This window comes from Homo sapiens, chromosome 3 (assembly GCF_000001405.40).
Source record: "Homo sapiens chromosome 3, GRCh38.p14 Primary Assembly".
Classification (NCBI taxonomy): domain Eukaryota; kingdom Metazoa; phylum Chordata; class Mammalia; order Primates; family Hominidae; genus Homo; species Homo sapiens.
Genome location: NC_000003.12, coordinates 166,955,588 through 166,975,052, shown reverse-complemented (window position 1 = coordinate 166,975,052; position 19,465 = coordinate 166,955,588). Strand labels below are relative to the sequence as shown.

The 19,465-nt window shown below is 33.8% G+C and overlaps 1 long non-coding RNA gene across 3 annotated transcripts in view; it reads left to right on the top strand.

Annotated features, from left to right (window-relative positions):
* Positions 1-333: 333 nt before the first annotated feature.
* LOC105374193 (uncharacterized) overlaps positions 334-19,465 on the top strand; it is a 75,141-nt gene continuing 56,009 nt past the window's right edge. For 2 of the 3 annotated variants that reach the window (XR_924674.3, XR_007096289.1), the window contains exons 1-5: positions 858-1,284; positions 1,550-1,662; positions 3,041-3,514; positions 13,928-14,008; positions 18,118-18,260. This is a non-coding gene — a long non-coding RNA (uncharacterized LOC105374193). Of the gene's footprint in view, positions 1,285-1,549; positions 1,663-3,040; positions 3,515-13,927; positions 14,009-18,117; positions 18,261-19,465 lie in introns of all 3 variants that reach the window. The other variant, XR_924675.3, reaches the window with a different exon arrangement.

Below are 19,465 nucleotides of genomic sequence, written 5' to 3'. Positions count from 1 at the left end.
TATCTGTGTAAGGGTATTTTAAATTATAAATTTAATTTCTATAACAGCTACATATTTTTAATATATATGTATATTTAATATATGTATATTTATAATATATAATATATATGAAATATAACAAATTATGTTATATTGCATTTTTATTATTTTATTTAAACAATATTAAAAATTTCCTTTGTGATGTCTTTCTTGACTCATAAGTACTATTTTTTAAGTGTATTATTACTTTTATAACAATTTTAAGCATTTGGAATTTATTTACATGCATTTCTTTATATTTGTAATTAAATATTTTTGTGGTTGGAAAACGTGCTCTATATGATTTAATCACATGACATTTATTGTGACTTATTTTACGCCCCAGCATGGAGCTTGGCTTTGTGAACACTCCCTATGAACTTGAAAAAAATGTTTATTCTGTAGTTGTTGGGTGAAATGTTTAATAAATATTAATTAAGTTGGTTCATAGTGATTTTCAAGTCTTTTAAACATTTACTGAATTGAGGACACTCATTTTATAAATTACTGACGTGGAGTGTTAACATTTTTAACTATAATTATATATTTGTCTATTTCTCCCTTTTATTTTTGTTCCTTTTGGTTTTTTGTATTCTAAGCTTCTATTATTAGGTGTATAAAAATTTAGAATTGATTTCTTCATGATGAATTGCATTTTTTATCATTATGAAATTACCCATTTTTAACTCTGGCAATACAACTCACCTTAAGGTCTGCCTTCCTCATATTAGCATAGCTACATCAGCTTTCTTAGGTGTGGTGTTTGCATGTTATAACTTTTTTTCTTTATATTTGAATATCTATCACATATTTTCTAGTATTTTTCTTGAGCAGCACATGTTCATTGTTTTTATTTATCAGGAAGTTTCTTTACTTTTGAACAAAACACTTTTTAAAGATAAAAATTCTGTGTTTTTATTTCTTATTTTTTGAACACTAAAGATGTCCTACTATCTTCAGTTCTACCCTCTATAGCTGTTTTCCTGTGTATTATGTATCTTTTTTCTCTGGCTAATTTTAACATTGTCTCCATAGCTTTATGGTTTAGCAGTTTGGTTTTTCTCTTCTCTTAGGAATGGTTTCCTCTCTATTTATCTTGCTTGTATTCTGGTGAGTTTCCAAAATCTGCGAATATTATCTATCTATTTACAGTATGAAAAACTTTGACTACTGTATTGTTTGTATTTTGACTGCCCTTTTCTTATTTTCATTTTCTTCTAGGACTCCAGTTATACATATATCAGGAAGCTTAATACAATCCCAGAGGTAATCTAGGATCTGCTTTTTTTATTATTTATTTTTTGTTTTTTTTTAATTTTGACTTGAGAAAATACTATTGGCCAACATTTAAGTTTGCTGATACTTTGCTTTATTGTATCTGGTCATCTCTCAATTATAGCTAATGAATTTTCATTTTAGTATTTGACAGGTTTCTTAGTAAAAAATGTAAATTCTTGTTTTTTAAGCAAATTTGAATGCATATAAGAAAATTATTTTAATAAAATACTGTTTTATCTATTTTACCCACTAGGTTTTACTTGAAAAATAGAATTTTATTGATAAAAAATAGAAAACTTCAAATCTATCACAACTCATCAACAGTCTACTCCTTTTATGTATTGGAAGCTTGTCAACTTCTTTTTGGTAGGTTGAAAAAATATGTTATTGTGTCATAATTCTTGCTGTTAGCACTAAGAAATCAATCTTAGTCTAATCATTTTGCCCATCTGAAATCAGTCAACCAGCACTATCCATTCTATTTCTGGAATGCTTTTTAAACCTAAGGCACTTATACAATTCTATCAGCTACTGACTAATTTATCCTTTAAATAAAAATATTATAATAGGCTAATTACTTTTATCTAATGTCAATCTTTCTCTATTCCACAATTACTTTTAAATAATTCTTAAAATGGTTTCTAGATAAATATTTTAAAACTAATTAAGTCATTTCATGCTGTGGTATAAATATTAAGGCTCCCCAAATTAATATGTTACAATCCTAACCACTAAAGTGATGTTATTAGAAAGTAGGGGCTTTTGGGAGGTCCTGTCATGAGGGCAAAGTCCTCATGATTGGGATTAGAGCTCTTATAAAAGAGACTGCAGAGAGCTAGCTAGCTCCTTGCATCATATGAGACACAGTGAGAAGGTACTACCTATGAACAAGAAAACAGGTACCAAAACTTGATACCAAATTTGCCTTATTTTTGGATTTCTCAGCCTCCAAAACTATGATAAGTAAATTTTGTTATTTATAAGATACTCAGCTTATAGTAGTTTGTTGTAGCAGCCTGTGGACCAAGATATTCCCTTTCTTAATATTTAAGCCTACATCTCTTGCATATTTACATTAGTAAAATTTCTAACATATAAGAGGCCATCAATGAACACAAGCTGCTGAAACATCTTAGGAATTCATTGCATGCATAGATCTTCATCAATCAACTGCCCCATCTATCTAGCTTTATCATCCCTCTATATCCCACAGCCTTTGCTCCAGGTCTGTTTATAATTTCCCACACATAACAGATTTTAGAAATATTTATGATTATTAATTTATCACTATGCATAATAACATTGTTTTAGACATTACTTTAGACCACTTATGCTAAACATAATTTAAATTGGTTCATTAAATTATTTTAATTGCCTAATTTGAAAATACTGTTAAAAATAATTGCATAAAGTGATTATTAATAGTTTTTAAATACAAAGATTAATTAAAAATTTCAAAGCCTTGAAGAAACAGTTTTTTCTCATTTTAATTAGAATTTACATGTCTAAGGGTTTACTTGGAAAGTATAATGTGCTTTGGAAGATGCACTTTCCAACCTTAATTATCTACATTATGTTAATTTTTAAAGTTTTATATGGACATTTAAACATTGATGTAATAAAAACAAGATATGAATTTGAGTCATATTTATGTTATTGGTCAACAACATTTATGGAATGCATGATATCAGACATCATAAATAGATAGACAAGACATGCATAATTATTTTTTGTCTATTTTCAGAAAAGTTAAAGTTAAGTTAGAGCTAAGACCATAAACATATGAAGACTGTCTGAGAAGACATGACTGGAAACTGAATAGGGCTGGGCGTGGTGGCTCACACCTGTAATCCCAACAATTTGGGAGGCCGAGGCGGGGGGATCACCTGAAGTCAAGAGTTCGAGACCAGCCTGGTCAACATGGAGAAATCCTGTTTCCACTAAGAATACAAGAATTAGCCAGGCGTGGTGGCAGGTGCCTGTAATCCCAGCTACTCAGGTGGCTGAGGCAGGAGAATTGCTTCAACCCGGGAGGCAGAGGTTGCAGTGATCCAAGATCATGCCACTGCACTCCAGCCTGGGAGACAGAGAAAGACTCCATCTCAGGGGAAAAAAAAGAAAAGAAAAGAAAAAGAAAAGAAAACTGAATAATACTCTATTTTTCTACAATGAATCTAGAAGAAAAAGAAAAGACCAAATATAGGATTACTTGAATGAGGTGAGTTTTAAATGTTTGTGAGGGATGATAGGCATAAAATTGGTGAAGAAAAAAAAAGTCAGTGTTTTGCTCAGGGTGTTATTTTATACCGTGGAGCTTAGCAGGTGATAAATCTCATGTAAGCTCAGCCTAAGTATCTCTTTTCCCCACCCCCAAAATGTACCTTATCAACTAAGTTGAAAATAATTCTTAACATGCTGTTTGCAGCTGGCCAAGCATAGTCTCTCATCAGATTAAATCAAATGGAAAACACAATGAGCTCTGGAATATGAATAGGGCCCAGAGTGTCTGTTTTTTAATCATGCTCAAAATCCAATTGAACCAACATGTACTGATTAAAGTTTCTTTAGGTACCAAGACTTAAAGAATTTTTTTTTCACCAAAGTTTGAGTTTATGGCTTCCTGTTCATGCAGCCTTAGAAATACTAGCCTTGATTTTTTGTGAAATCACAACCAGCTCCCTTCCCAAACAATGGCCAAAGTATCAGTTTTATTTACTTGTGTTTATCCTAATAAACTCTAGCCTTTTTACCTCAGTTCATGGTGGTAACTTGTACATCATTTAATTACTTCTTTTAAATTTTAATTTTATGATTTTTATTTTATATGGATGAGGAGGTAGAAATATAAATAGGAAATAGTTGGGAGAATAGTCTATACGTGCCTCCACTAACATAAATAATAAAATGATTTTGCCCTTTCTTAGTTCTTCAGAGATCTCCCTGGCCATGTCAATTAAGTTGGCCACTCCAAAATAAAACTACACTATTAACCTTTAGAACTACATTCTAAGGTAGGACAGAAACAGTTTTTAGACAGACAGAAATCCTGGGATGAAGGAGAGTTTCAAGTGACATTTTTCTTATAAATAAATAAATATCAGCTAATGTCTTTTTCAATATGGCTGACTAGATACCGGGAATGATCTTCCCCAATGAGAAGAAATAAATGTGTTAAGTGAAACATAAAAAGGCATTGCTGAACTGTTATGGTAATAAGGAATCTGCAGAGACACATTTGTTGGGAAAGTAGGTAAGTGAATGAAAATGAGGAAAGTGATCTCCAAAATCTACTTTTTTTCCTGGAATCTTCTTCCATTTTCTGAGTTCAACTTCATTGTCCTGTACTAGAGATCCACTTCACTTCTCGGGATCCACTCTGATGGCTTCATGGATAACAGATCATAAACTCTAGGACTCATCAAAGGTGAAGTATAGTAAAAAGTCCCTACATTAAAATGTAGACCTCATCATTTAACTATTTAATATATAACATAAGGTACTGAATAGATGAATATTATCCATAATAATTTGAAATTACAATCTGATCCACCTAGGGATTTTTTTTTCTGAATTAAGAGTACCTACAGGATTTTAAAACCTCATTGAAAAAAATTATTAGAAAATGAATTTTTTATATTTACTTTGGACCTAAAGAAGGAGGATCGAAGTATCTGCAGGTGACCTGCTAAACAAATGAAAAGAACCAAAGCAACAAATAGACAAGTTTGAGTAGAGAGTTTGAAGGAGAGAGCTGGAGTGCAGCAAGTGAGTAGTAAAACCTGTGGAACACACAAACCCAGAATGACAGCATAGAGAGAAGAGCAAAGCACCCTGACTCTTCTCCACTATCTCCCTTGCCAGGATCAACCTGGAGCCTGAAAGGACTTTCCTTTGCAGGAAAAAAGTAGGCAGGAGGCCCCCAATATCCTCAATTACCACTGTAGGCACTTGGCAGTTCTTGCTACAGGAGAATTATGCGGCCCTTAAAGTCCCTAAATGCAGTTTGGGGAACTGCCTGGAATTCACACGGTGGCATTGCTCCAGGGTAGGAGCTCATGCTGTGCACTCTCCACTCTTACGACGCAAGCTAATACAGCATGGCACCATCTTGAAACCGGAGTTGCTGCTGGAGCACACTCTGCTCTGTGGGCCAGTAGCCACTGCCTCTGTCCATCTTTAAACTCCACCTTCATTTTACCTTACTAACACAGGTGGCCACAAGGCATGACACTAGCCGCTTGGAGCCTGAGCCCCAAAACAGCTGTGACTTGCATAGCTCCTAAGCACAATGCCATATGCCTATGTCCCTGGCCTGAGAAATAGCCTGACAGAACTTTCCCACTGAGTTCACCCGCAAGCTAGCTGAACCACAGCACACTCATGTCCCTGGAGGGAGAAATAACCTGGTAGAAACTCCCCCAGCAAGCCCGCCCAACATCCCCAGCGAAAGAAACAGCCTGGTGGACTTACACCTAGCAGGCCCGTCCTTGAGCCACTGAACCACTCATTGTGTGTCCATGATCTCAACCAGCAAAACATTGTGGTGAACTCAGTCCCAGTGAGCCAGACCTGCTGACAGCCTGTGTTTATGCTACTGACCTGAAAAAAAAAAAAAACCAACAACCTCACTCTAGCCAAGCGAGTCCATGAACCTGCTGACTTACCATGTGCAGAAATGTGCTACCAACCTGAGAGTCAGCCCAACAAGCTTGTTCCTGACAAAGCAGCAGCACTACTGCCACAAACTCATACAGCCTCATCTACTTAAACACTCTGAAAAATTGCTGATATGGATTACAGCTGAAGAAACTGCACAGAGACTACACTACTACATCCATCCAGAACCAAAGCCCAATCCGCTTCACCCAACTAACATCCTGGAACCCATCTACAGGAATAAGCCTTTTCCTATGAAAGCTACTTCATAAAATTAGAAGAAGTGACTCTTCCACCAGATGCACAGATATCTATAAAGAGACACAAGAAACATGAAAAAGCAAAGAAACATGACACCTCCAAAGGAACTTAATAATTATCCAGTAACAGACCCCAAAGAAAAGAAAATGTATAAGATGCCTGAAAATAAATTCAAAATAATGATCTTAAGAAAATTCCATAAGATATAACAGAAAACAAATATATAATTCAATAAAGTCAGAAAAACAATTTATGCTGAATGAGAAATTCAGTGAAAAGGTAGATATTACAAAAACAAACCAAAACAGAAATTTGGAACTGGAGAATTCAGCAAATTAAATAGAAATAAAATTGAGGGTTTTAACAACAGACTAGAATGAGCAGAATACAAAAATATATATATTTAAACCTGAAGGTAGGTATTTTGAGATAACCCAGTCAGAAGGAAAAAAATAAATAATAATAAAAAAATTGAAAGAGGTTTATGGGACTTATGGGATGCCATTGCACACACACACACACACAAAATCATAACATTGTGGGAATCCCAAAGGGAGGAGAGACTGAAGATGAAGGCACAGAAAACCTATCTGTCAAAATAATAACAAAAAATGTGGCCGAGTGCAGTGGCTTATGCCTGTAATCCCAGCACTTCTTTGGGAGGACAAGGTGGGCAGATCATGAGGTCAAGAGATTGAGACCATCCTGGCTAACACGGTGAAACCCCATCTCTATTAAAAATACAAAAAATTAGCTAAGCGTGGTGGCGCGTATCTGTAATCCAAGCTACTCCGGAGGCTGAGGCAGGAGAATCGCTTGAATCAGGGAGTCGGAGGTTGCAGTGAGCCGAGATTGCATCACTGCACTCCAGCCTGGTGACAGAGCGAGACTCTGTCTCAAAAATAAATAAATAAATAAATAAATAAATAAATAAATAAATAAATAAAAATTTTAAAATGCCAAATCTTAAGAGACAGACAAACATTCAGATTCAGGAAACTCACATGTCCCCAAATAGACTCAATGCTAAAAGGTCCTCTTTTAGGCATGTTATAACCAAACTGTCAGGAAAGAATAGGGTGATAAATTCAAAGTGATAAGAGGAAAAGAAAAAAAAAAAAGAAAAACTCAATAACAAAAATTCTATACCCAACAATACTATTCTTCAGAATTGAAGGAGGAATAAAATATTTTCCAAGTAAAAGCTAAGGAAATTCATCACCACTAGACTGGCCTCGGAAGAAATGCTTAGGGGAGTGCTACTACTGAAAGCAATCTAATAGTAATACAATCATTAAAACAGATGAAGGTATAAAACTCACTTGTAGGGGTAAACTTGTAATCAAACTGTGAATACTTCAATACTGTAATGGTGCTAAGTAAAACTTTCAAATCTGTAGTGTAATAGTTAAAAGTAAAAATGGTAAGAAATAACTACAGCTATAATTAGTTGGTGAGGAATGCACAATATACGAAGATGTCAATTAAATCAATATAATTTAAATTGTGAGAGGAAGAGTAAAACTCGAGAATATTTTTGTTTGATTAAAGTTATTAGCTTAGTCTATTATAACTACAAAATTTTAATGTTATTCCCATAAAAACCACAATAAAAGGAGCTTCAACAAGTACCCAAAGACAAAAACAAATAAAACAAAGCTTAGCACCACAGAAAAGCATCACACCACAAAGCTAAACAACAAGAGAGGAAGAAAGAAACAAAGGATCTACAAAACAATCAGAAAGTCAATTAACAAAATGGCAGGAATAAGCCCTCACCTATCAATAATAACCTTGAATGTAAATAGACTAAACAAACAGAGTGGCTAAATGAATTTTTAAAAAAGACTTAAATATTTGTTGGCTACAAGAGATTCACTTCACCTGTAAAGATGTACATAGATAAGAAATGAAGGGTTTAAGAAAGATATTCCATGAAAATGAAAACCAAAAGCAATCAAGAGTAGCTATACTTACACCAGATAAAATAAACTTTGTGCCAAAAACTGTAAAAAGTGACAAAAAAGGTCATTATATAATAATAAAAATCCAATTCACCATGAGGATATAACAATTATGAATGTATATGTCCCTAAGAAAGCATCCAAATACATACAGAAGGTATTATTAAGTATAAAAGGAGAGACAGACTTTACAAAAACAGTAGGGGACTTCAACACCTCAATTTTCAACAATGGATTATCCATAAAGAAAAGCAACAAAGAAATATTGAATATACACTACACTCTAGAGCAAAAGGACTTGCCAAACATTTACAGAATATCTTATCCAGCAACTGAAGAATACATATTCTTTTCAACTGCATATTGTACATTTTCTAGGACAAATTACTTATTGTGACAAAAAAACAAATCTTCATGAATTTAAAAACCCAGAAATCATATCAAGTACATTTTAGGATCACAATGGTATAAAACTAGAAATCAATAAGAAGAGGAACTTTGGAAACTTTCAAATACCTGAAAACTAAACAACATGCTCCTAAATAGCTAATGGGTCAAGAAGAAATTAAGAGAAACTTAAATATTTGCTGAGAAATTAAAAAAAAATTTGAAACACAGCAGAACAAAACTTTTTGAATGCAGCAAAGAAGTTCTAAGAGGAAAGTTTACAGCAATAAACGCCTACATCAAGAAAGTAGAAAGATCTCTAATAAACAACCTAACACTGCATGTCAAGGAACCAGAAAAACGAGATCAAACTGAAATCAAAAATAGTAGAAGGAATATAAATATAAGAGCATAACAAAATAACAAAATGTAAAGTATCAATAAAGTTTATTTTATAAAAGTAAACAAAATTGACAAATCTTAAGCTAGACTAGCTAAAGAGAGAGATAACTCAAAAAAGTAAAAAATGAAAAAGGAGACAATACAGCCAATACCACAGAAACACAAAGGATCATTAAAGACTATTATGAAAAATTATATGTGAAAAAATTGGATAATCTTGAAGAAATGGATAAATTCCTGGACATATCCAACCTACCAAAAATGACTTGTGAAGAAATAGAAAGCCTAAATCATCAAAAATGGGAAAGTTGAATAAGTACTAAATAGATAAAGAACAACTCCCATCAAAAGAAAAGCATAGGACTTGATGGCTTCACCGATAAATTCTACCAAACACCTAACATTTATTCTAATGAAAACTCTCAACAAATTAGGTATAGAAGGTATGTACTTCAACACCGTACAGGCAACACAAAACAAGTACCACATCTAATGTCCTGAGGAAAAAGAAAAAAGTTAAAACCTTTTTTTTTTTTTTCTAGGAACTGAAACAATTTAATGATGCCCCATTTTCTCACTTGTATTCAACAAAGCTCTGGAAGTTCTGGCCAGAGAAATTAGGCAAGAGAAAAAAATAAAAGGCATCCGAATTGGAAAGGAGGAACTCAAATTGTTTCTATTTGCAGATGACATGGTCTATATATAGAAGGAAAAAAATCACGGGAACTCTGTTAAAAATGACATATGAATCCAATAAAGATGCAGAATATGAAATCAGCATAGAAAAATCACAGTGGTTTTATATGGTAATAGTAAAATATCTGAAAAGGAAATCAAGTAAACAATCTAATTTACAATACCTACAAAATATATAACATGCTCAAAAATAAATTTAATGAAGGAGGTGAAAGATCTCTACACTAAAACAATAAATCATTGATGAAATACATTGAAGAGGAAACAATAAATGAAAATATATCCCATGTTCATGGATTAGAAGCTTTAATATTCTACAAATGTTCATAGTACCTGAATTAGTCTAAAGATTCAATGCATTCTCTATTAAAATACCAATGACATTTTCCCCAGAAATAGAACAAATATTCTAAAATTTATATAGAATAACAAAATAACCAAATAGTCAAAGACATTTTGAAAAATAATAAAAAAAAACTGGAGACATCACATTACCTGACTTCAGAACATACTACAAATCTGTAATAACCAAAAACAACCTTGTATTGGCATAAAAGCAGACACTAATGGAACACAAGAGAGAGCCCAGAAATAAGTCTACACAATAGTGGCCAACTGATTTCAAAAAAGGTTCTAAGAACACACACTGGGGAAAGAATAGTCTCTTTAATAAATGGTCCTGGGTTAACTGGATATCCACAAGTGGAAAAATGAAACTGTACCCCTATCTTTTACCAGATACAAAAATCAACCCAAAATGAATTAAAAGCTTAAATGTAAAAGCCAAAGCTATGGACCTACTAGAAGAAAACATAAGGAAAATGGTTTATAACATTGGACTGGCCAAGATCTTTTGGATAAGACCTCAAAAATATAGGCAACAAAAGCAGTAACAGACAAATGAGATTACATCGAACTGAAAAACTTCTGCACAAAGAAGAAAACAATCAACAGAGTGAAGAGGTGATCTACAGAATAGATGAAACATTTATATGCTATATACATTTGAAAAAGTTTTAATATCTGTAATATATAAGGAGCTCAAACAAATCAACAACAAAAAGTAATGTGCTTAAAACACAGACTAAAGACCTTTATGAAAAAGTGGTCAAGATCACTAATCATAACAGTAATACAAATCAAAACCACAATGAGATATCACCTGACTCCACTTAGAATAGCTATTATCAAAAAGACAAAAGGTAACAAGTTTGGGTGAAGATGTAGAGGAAAGGAGATCATTACCACTGTTGGTGGGACTGTAAATTAGTACAGCCATGATGGAAAACAGTATAAAGTTTTCTGAAAAATTAAAAATAGAACTGTCATATGATTTAACAATTCCACTGCTGAGTATGTATCTGAAGGAAATGAAATGAGTATGTCAAAGAGATATTTTCACTCCCATGTTTATTGCAGCCCAATTCACAGAGAAAGTTATGGAATCAATCTATATATTCAACAATGGTTAAATGGATAAATAAAATGTGATATATATACACAAAATGGAATTCTATTTAGCCATGAGGAAGACTGTAATCCTGTCATTTGCAATAACATCGATGAATCTTGAGGATGTTAAGTGAGATAAGCCAGACACAGAAACACAAGCGGAGTATGTTCTCATGTGAAATCTAAAAAAAATTGTCTCACAGAAGTAGTGAATAAATCAGTGGTTATCAGAGACTGGGGAAAGTAGGAGGGAGACGAAGATGAAAAGAGGATGGTCAATGGATACAAAGTTACAATCAGAAAGGAAAAATAATTTCTAGTGTCCTATGGCACAGTAGTGTAACTACAACCAAAAATTAGGTATGATATATAAAAAAATAGCTAAAAGAGAGGGTTTTGTGTGTTCTAATCACAAAGAAATTATAACTCTTTAAGATGATGGATATGCTGATTATTCTAATTTGATCATTGCAAAATATGCACACATATTAAAGCATTACATTGTGCCTCATAAATATGTACAATTATTATGTGTTCATTAAAAACTACTTTCTTCACTAGTAAGAATTTATAACTTAAAAAGGTTAGGTGGCAGATTATATATAGTGCAATAGAAAAATAGTGATGTGGAAGAAATGTCTAAAGAAATTATTCTGACTAAAGTTTAAATAACTAAAAAATAGAAAATATTTTAAAAAGCTAAGATACTTGGAAAACAAAAACTACCAAACTTTCTAGCAAGAGAAAACAAAACGAAAGAAAAAAAAATGAGAGTTCAGGACTTGAAGAGACCATGGCTATTGATTTTCAAGAGTTGGTAAAAGCCATTGATCTTCAAACCTTGGAAACTCACTGGGCTCCAAGCAGAGTAAACATCAAAGTACGTTAGTTACATAATTCACACCTAGATGCATGGTACTGAAACCTAAAAATTAAAACAAAAGAATTTAAGAAAGAAAAAGTGATTGTATGTGTATAATAGGGGTGGGTGGAGAAGATAAAAAGAGAGAATCTCCAAAGTAAAGCAATTAGATTGACAATGAACTTCTTAACAGTAAAAATAGAAGCCCTGAGACCTTAGGATAATATCATTTATGTTGTCAGAAAATATAAACTTTAGTTCTGCATCCAGAAGCATTGCATATTATAAAGGAAGGTAAAGTTAGTTTTTAGCCAAAAAAAATAAACCCAGAGAGTTTACCCGTAATATATTCTATTTAAAGATTTGAAAGTCTTTAAGGGAAATTATCCCAAATCGAAGATCAGAGGTGAAAGAAGGTAGAGTTTGAAGATATTTTTTAAAATGGTTAACTGAAACAAATATTGACTGTGAAATGTAATAATGCTCAATTTATATATCTAATATTTCTGTGCTAATATGCCAGGCCAGGAATGTTTTTGAATATGTGTTAATCATTAGTAAAGTTAAATCATTTCATCAGTCTTTTGAGGAATATACTATCATTATCTGTGAAAACACAGAGAAGTTGGTGAAGGCAAAAAGTCCCACAGCAATTATGCAGCAGGGCCAAGGTTTAAACACAGTGTGGCATCTGCACTTTTGTGCACTATTCTTGAGGTTTTTCTAATTTGTGGAGAAAAGAAAGAGGTAATAATAAAACTATTGACAATCACAACTGAGATAATACCCTCATATTTAGATCTATGCAGCTTTATCAGAATTATTTAATGAAACAAAGACATTACTGTATATATAATCTCTGTAAATTAAAAATTATCCTACTGTAACCATAGCATGATCCATAATGTAACTTATTGTCAAACATCATCTGCGGTGGTTCTTCAATCTCTTTAGATGCTTACTCAAGGTGAAGAATAATATGGCAAGATTATTTAAAATAAAAGAAATATTTTTGTTTTATTCCATGTAAAACCAAGCTAGGACTTGAAGGGAATGCCTCAACAGATTATATGACCAGTTTCAAAAGCTATTTACTGAGCTTCCAATTATATACAGATATTATGCTATATCCCTTCCCATTAAATTAAAACATATTATCTTCATTCCTTTTTCACAAACAATGACATAAGTTTATTGATTTGTCCAAGAAAGAATATGGTTTGCTAAGGGGTGGGTACGATTTTGATCCCAGCTCCCTAGAAACCAAGATCAAACAACTCTGTGTATTTGTTCTTATATCAGGACCGTCAAAAATAATTGGGTTGATTTTTAGCTCATTTTCAAAAGAAATTTTAAGACAAGAAAATAAACTGGGTATCCATTAATCTCATAAAAATAGAAACACTATATCTAAAACTAATGATTCTTTTTTGTTTCACTTCCTGTGAAGAAAGTTTCTTAATTGCTACTGTTTAGCTGAAGAGTATCTTCTGATACTTTTTCACCTTTGTTAAAGTCAAACTGATTTTCTTGGATACGCTGAAGTTTTAAACAAGCAAATTAACCAATCTACAAGACCCACATTTTTTCTCTGTCACCCTTCACCAAGTTCTTACTTAACAGTATTTAAATGAATGAAAGATGTTAATAGTTCATCAATCAGTTAATTCTCTCTAATGTTTATTACTTTAAAGACAGGGATCTCTAATCTGCTTCCCTCTCACTCGCATTTTTGGTTCAATGTGTTTTTATTTGGCAATTATTGATTATTTTGTTGAAACCTGGCAGTTTGATAATGACCTACAGGGTTCTTAGACCTTCTTATATTAGGAGTAGTAGTCCACATTTACCCTGCATAGTCTACTGTTTCTTTGCTAATTGCATGAACTTCAGGTTTTGTAAAATCTGCCAGTTGCCTTGAACAAAGAGCTTAATGTGAGATTTGTTTCAGACAAAAAAGATGGAATTTGGAGGACAAGACAAGAGATACTAAGAAGAGTAAACCCAATAAACAGACTGCAGCACAGAAAGGGTAAGTGATACTACATCACACTTGAGATGATCAAAGACATCCCAGTACTAGATTTGAAAGACAGGAGAAAATCGTCACATAGGAGAGAGGATGTAGCCATGCTATACTAGAGGAAGAAAGATTCAAGGAGGAGGAACATAGTCAAAAAATTATGTTCCTGAGTCCCAGGTATGGCTACTTTGAACTCTGTGTTATAGGAGAAGCCACAGTAAAGTCTTTGAACTCCAGTTTGCTAAGCTCTTATTTTGGAACCTCTTCATATTACTCAGGTTGTTTCTCTCCTCCTTGGAGGCTTTCTCCAGGAAGAAATGTTCTATGGGCTAATGACATGTGGAAAATTATAATATTTCTTTGAACTGTTAAATAATTTAACAGTGGAAAATAATAATATTTCTTTGAACACTGAAGGTATTCTTGGACACAGATCAGAGTAAATGTACAGCGATGTATCAAGCTATGAAATCAAGTATAAAGATTCAGAAATGCTAACCTTTTTGAATTTATGTTTGTGGTTCTATTATTACATTATCAATAACCTCACCAGGTTTAATAAACCTTCAGATACAACTTTCTGAGCATGCTTAGTCTCAAACAGGCTGACTACTAAGTTATCTCAATATACCTATAGTCTACACTATTATTTAATATCTATGCACATTGTTTCGAAAATATAAATACTACAGCATAAAGACTCGAAAAATTAAATCAGAATTTGAGGTAAGCTGGAATTTATCAACAGTTTACCTAAAGCATCTGATATTTGAGAAACGAGGGAGAAGGACTCACTGCTTTTTAATTTTCTTAGATCCAAATTCTAGCATTATATCAAACTGGATCATCACAAAGCAAAGTAATGGATTGTGTTATGTCTGCCCCCTACAGATACACCTTCACTGAATTATGAATTAATGTTATGCCCTCATTTTGGATAACTTGGCCAAAGCTGCCTAAGCCTGATTAGATTGTGTTTCCCCGTGGGTATTAAAATAGCAAGTAGGGCATGATGCTTGCTTTTCTGTAGGGAAAGTTGTGAAGCTGGATGCTGAGTGGCTGTTTCTGCATAGTCAGTGATGCAACACAAATCTGATCAGGATTCTGTAACCAATATTTTGACTTTGACTTTCTGTGTAAATATGTGTATGTATGTGTGTGTGTTTGAAAACATACAGCTAAAAATATTACCTATTACTTTACCCTGTGATATTCAGTTATTTATACTAATACTCTGCTAACAATAATGAAATATTATTATGGCTTACTAGTGTTCACTTAATTCTTTTTAAGGAGGCCTATAATCTCAATAATAATGATGATTCTTAAGGCTATGTGATATAAAATCCATTTTAGATTAAGTCAGTGGCTAAATGAAAAAATTAAAATGCAGAATTATTCATGACTAATATTCTGAGGAAAAGAGATAAGAAATAAATGTGAATATTTTCAGAGATAGCATAAATAAACTTGAAGAATTTCAGTGGAACTATTTATTCACAAAACATTTTAAGAGAAAAGAGAAATAGTGTAAAAAGATTAGATATTACTCTCATACTAGCAAGAAATAAATAGCACACAGTAAAATCAAAGTCACAATGTTGATAACCTTTAACAATTTGTGATGATATGGGATTGGAATATATCAACATAGAAATATAGAACCTGACAAAATTAGAAGTACTGTTGTTGCATGCAGTCCTTGCTGAATTTTATTGAAAAGATACATGGCAGTGGCATTTCTTCAGGGTTCTCTGTTAGACTATCATTTACAAACAAACAGTGTTTCTCAGAATTTGGCATCTAAAAAAGTCATCTGGAGAAGCTTTTTAAAAAGTCACATACCTACTCTCCACACTCTTTCTCCCTAACTCCACTCTCCCACAAGAAATGGAGAAATATATTTAGTACCTCTGCAGTAGAACCCTAGTCGCTCGACTTTTGATAATTTTAGATAATTTTGTTGTGGGTGACTTATGGACTATGATTTTAGACAATTTTGTTGTAGGTGGCCTATGGACTATGATTTGAGAAATGCTAATTTTTATTTTACATTAATCAGGAAACTAATTGTAGTTTAAAATTTCAAATCATAGTAAAAGAATATACAAATGCTATGTTATGGGTAAAGGGATTTAAAAATGCTGTTTTACGATGGTTTCTGAGGCAGCATAATGCAGTGGCTCAGGGAGTAGGCATTAGAGTTAGAGAACTGCATGTGGGCCTTGTTTCCAGCACATTCTGGTCACATGATCCTGAATGCATCGTTTAAATTCCTTGAGCCCTAGTTTCCACTCTGTAAAATGGAGATAATAATGTTCAAAGCACAATATTATTATGAGAATTAAAGAATACAGAAAATGGAAAACACTCAGCACAGTCCTTGGCACATTGTAGTATTTTTTTCTATATTTTCACCATAATTACTCTACTTGGCATTTGCTGTAACTTGTAAATCACTTCAAATATTTTAAGTAGGTTATAAGTTACTTACAGAACCGTACAATTTTTCTTGATAATTATTAAATGAGAATATAGGTAAATTTAATTTTAAAGTTTAACAAAACCTGTGATGCGATTGAAATCATTCAAAATGTAAAATAATGCAGAAAATGTTTTATGCTATATCACAAAATCATAAATTTATGTCATAAGATCACCAAAATTAAAATAACTATAATATAATTGGGCTTCAAAAATATTCCTGCTAGCATGAGTTTCGAAGTAGTTTAATTGTCTTTGAAGAAAACAAAATGAAATGCAAGACTTAGTCCTTGTGGAAATAAGCTGCTAAAAGGAAAAATAATTATTGTGCATGGGGCAGGATAAGTATGATCAGAAAGTTTTACATATCTATAGAAATTAGTATCTAATATCAACATAATGACCACTTTAAAAGACAACAAAAGGGATACACAAAATGATTTGCTACTTTTGAACATTGTTAATATTTCATCCCACATTGACAGAACTCCACCAATAAATTCATGAATATTGGATTAGATTCCAAACCTTTTGCAACACAAACTGACTTCTTTATGTTTACACTAAGACCTTTGTTAATTTGGCAGTAAATGTGACATTTCCTCAGAATCCTGATAATTTTTTGGCCCTTTCTTAATGTGCTCATGGGCATTAGGACATTAGCAGATATTCAAAAGTATTGCGTGCAATGATGATTTCACTGAGGGCAAATACCAAAATTCTGCTACTGCTTTTAGCATCAATTTAGCATTAGTTTACTTTCTAGTTCACACGTGTAGTTTGGTTTCAACCTCTGGTGTCTTCAACAATGATGCTATGAAGAAGAGGGAGATGATCTTACTCTCCTAGTTAACTTGAAGAAGACTAAGAAGATGCCACATTTACTGGGATGTGCCATCATTAGCACATAGTAACTTTGTGAATATCAGAAAAAGATGAACGTTCCTCCAAACAGATAGCACACCATATGCCAGAACTTAAGATTTGGCAAGTGGGATTCAGGCTAGAATTCATTCTCATCTTTTCCCCTTAGTAGAGTGCTCTTGCACAGACTCTGGCCTATATAACCATCTAAACCTGGTCAGCCTGGGGTCCCCAGTGGAAGTCACTGGCCTGATGGCCTGATTCCCCAGCTGCTGCATGATCTTAATGGGTCTTGGCACTGCTATTTCCTCTGGGTTTAGGATACCCCAGGTGCATGCTGGGCAGAGCAAGAACCCTGTTGGATCAGAATTTCCATAATCTTCCCACTGCATTAGCTGCCAGTGCCCACAGCTGCTTTGGTCCACAGCTTGCGTTCTGAGGTCTCTGGCACACGTCTTTGTTGGGGAGATCAAAACGTAGATTCATGCCAACTGGAGGGGCATTTTTTCAAGCATAAAAAATTCCCAAAGCTCATTAATATAGGCAGCTTTTAGGCAGGGAAAAGCATAAGATTTATAGGTTCAATTACTTTCCAACTATAACCTTTATCAGTTTGAATCACTTAACTTTTTATGTTTATATATTTTCAGTGTTTTTTTTTTGGTTGATAGATACAGCAAAAAATACTAGGTTAAGGAGTATTTTAATAAATTATAGAAAAATGTTTCAATTTTAAGATAAAGCTAAATCAAGTTTTGTCATCTGGTCAGGTCCAGGACCAGGGAGGTGGCTTGTTCAGGAAAGAGTTAACTCAACAGGTCTGGGATATTCAAATCCCACACATTTCGAAAAAAAGTTCTCTCCTCATTGGCTCCTGGGAGAAAATCTCTACGTCTTTGGACTATTCTTCCAGGTAAGACTGTATTCATATGTCTAAGTTCCTTTGGCCATAGCAGATAACTTATGCTAACAATGAAACTTGAGAGAGTATTTGGGTCATAATGCATCAGTTTGACTTCTGGAGGGGTTGGAGACAGAATAAAGCCAACCATGTGATTGCTCTATGCCTATGTGGGCAGTTTGCAAAAAAAAAAAAAAACAAAACAAAAAAACCCTGGAGAATGAAGCTCAAGTGAGCTTCTCTGTTAGGAAATATTCCATATGTATTGACACACATCATTGGTAAAAGAATTAAATGCTGTTCACACAACTTTACTAGAAGAAGATAACTGAAGCTTGGGCCTAGTATCTCCTGGACTCTGCCCTATACATCTTTTAACTTTGCTGATTTCAATGTGTATTCTTTTGTTGTGATAAACCGTAATTGAGAATCTAAAAACTTTTCTGAGTTCTGAGTCCTTCTAACACAACTTAATGACTCCTGACACAGTAATAAGAGTCACACAGGGTGGTCTTGGGAACACCTGACAGAGTAGTGAGAAATTTTCTATTTTACTTGTATTTGAAAAAATGCAAATGAAAACAGATGAAATGCCATGTTATTGTGGTAAAACAATAGAAATATTAATTGTAGTCAGTGTTAGGAAGTATATTGAGGATGGAATTGAGATGGCAGACAGGAGGCAGGACTAGCTTGCAGCTCCCACTTGGACAGAGCAGTGTGTGGAGACTCGTATCATAAACTTTTGCTCCAAGAACCACGACAGGAAGATAAGAGGAAAGCCGAGGGAATTCACAGACCCTTTGAAGGAACTGGATCACCACTACAAGCTCCCTGAGAGGCCATAATACTATGAGTCTGCTTGCTTTCTCAATGGGGAGACTCACGGTCTGGGGCAAGTTCTCAGCCCTGGTCACCGGCTGCCTGGAAATAGACTCATTGCTGTTTGTGGGGCATGGTGAGAGTGAGACTGGCCTTTAGGACTGTGAGTTGAGTGGGAGCAGGGTGAAGCCTGTGACTGCAAGATCTCCCTCAGTTCCCTGGTGACTTGTATGACTCAGCAGAGGCAGCTATAATCCCCTTGGCAATATAATTCCACTGGACTGGGAACCACACCCCATCCGCCAAAGCAACCACAGCAAGCCCTGACCAAGGAGAGGCTGAGCTCGGACACACCTATCCCTGCCCCCACCTGGTGGTCTTTCTCTACCAGCCAT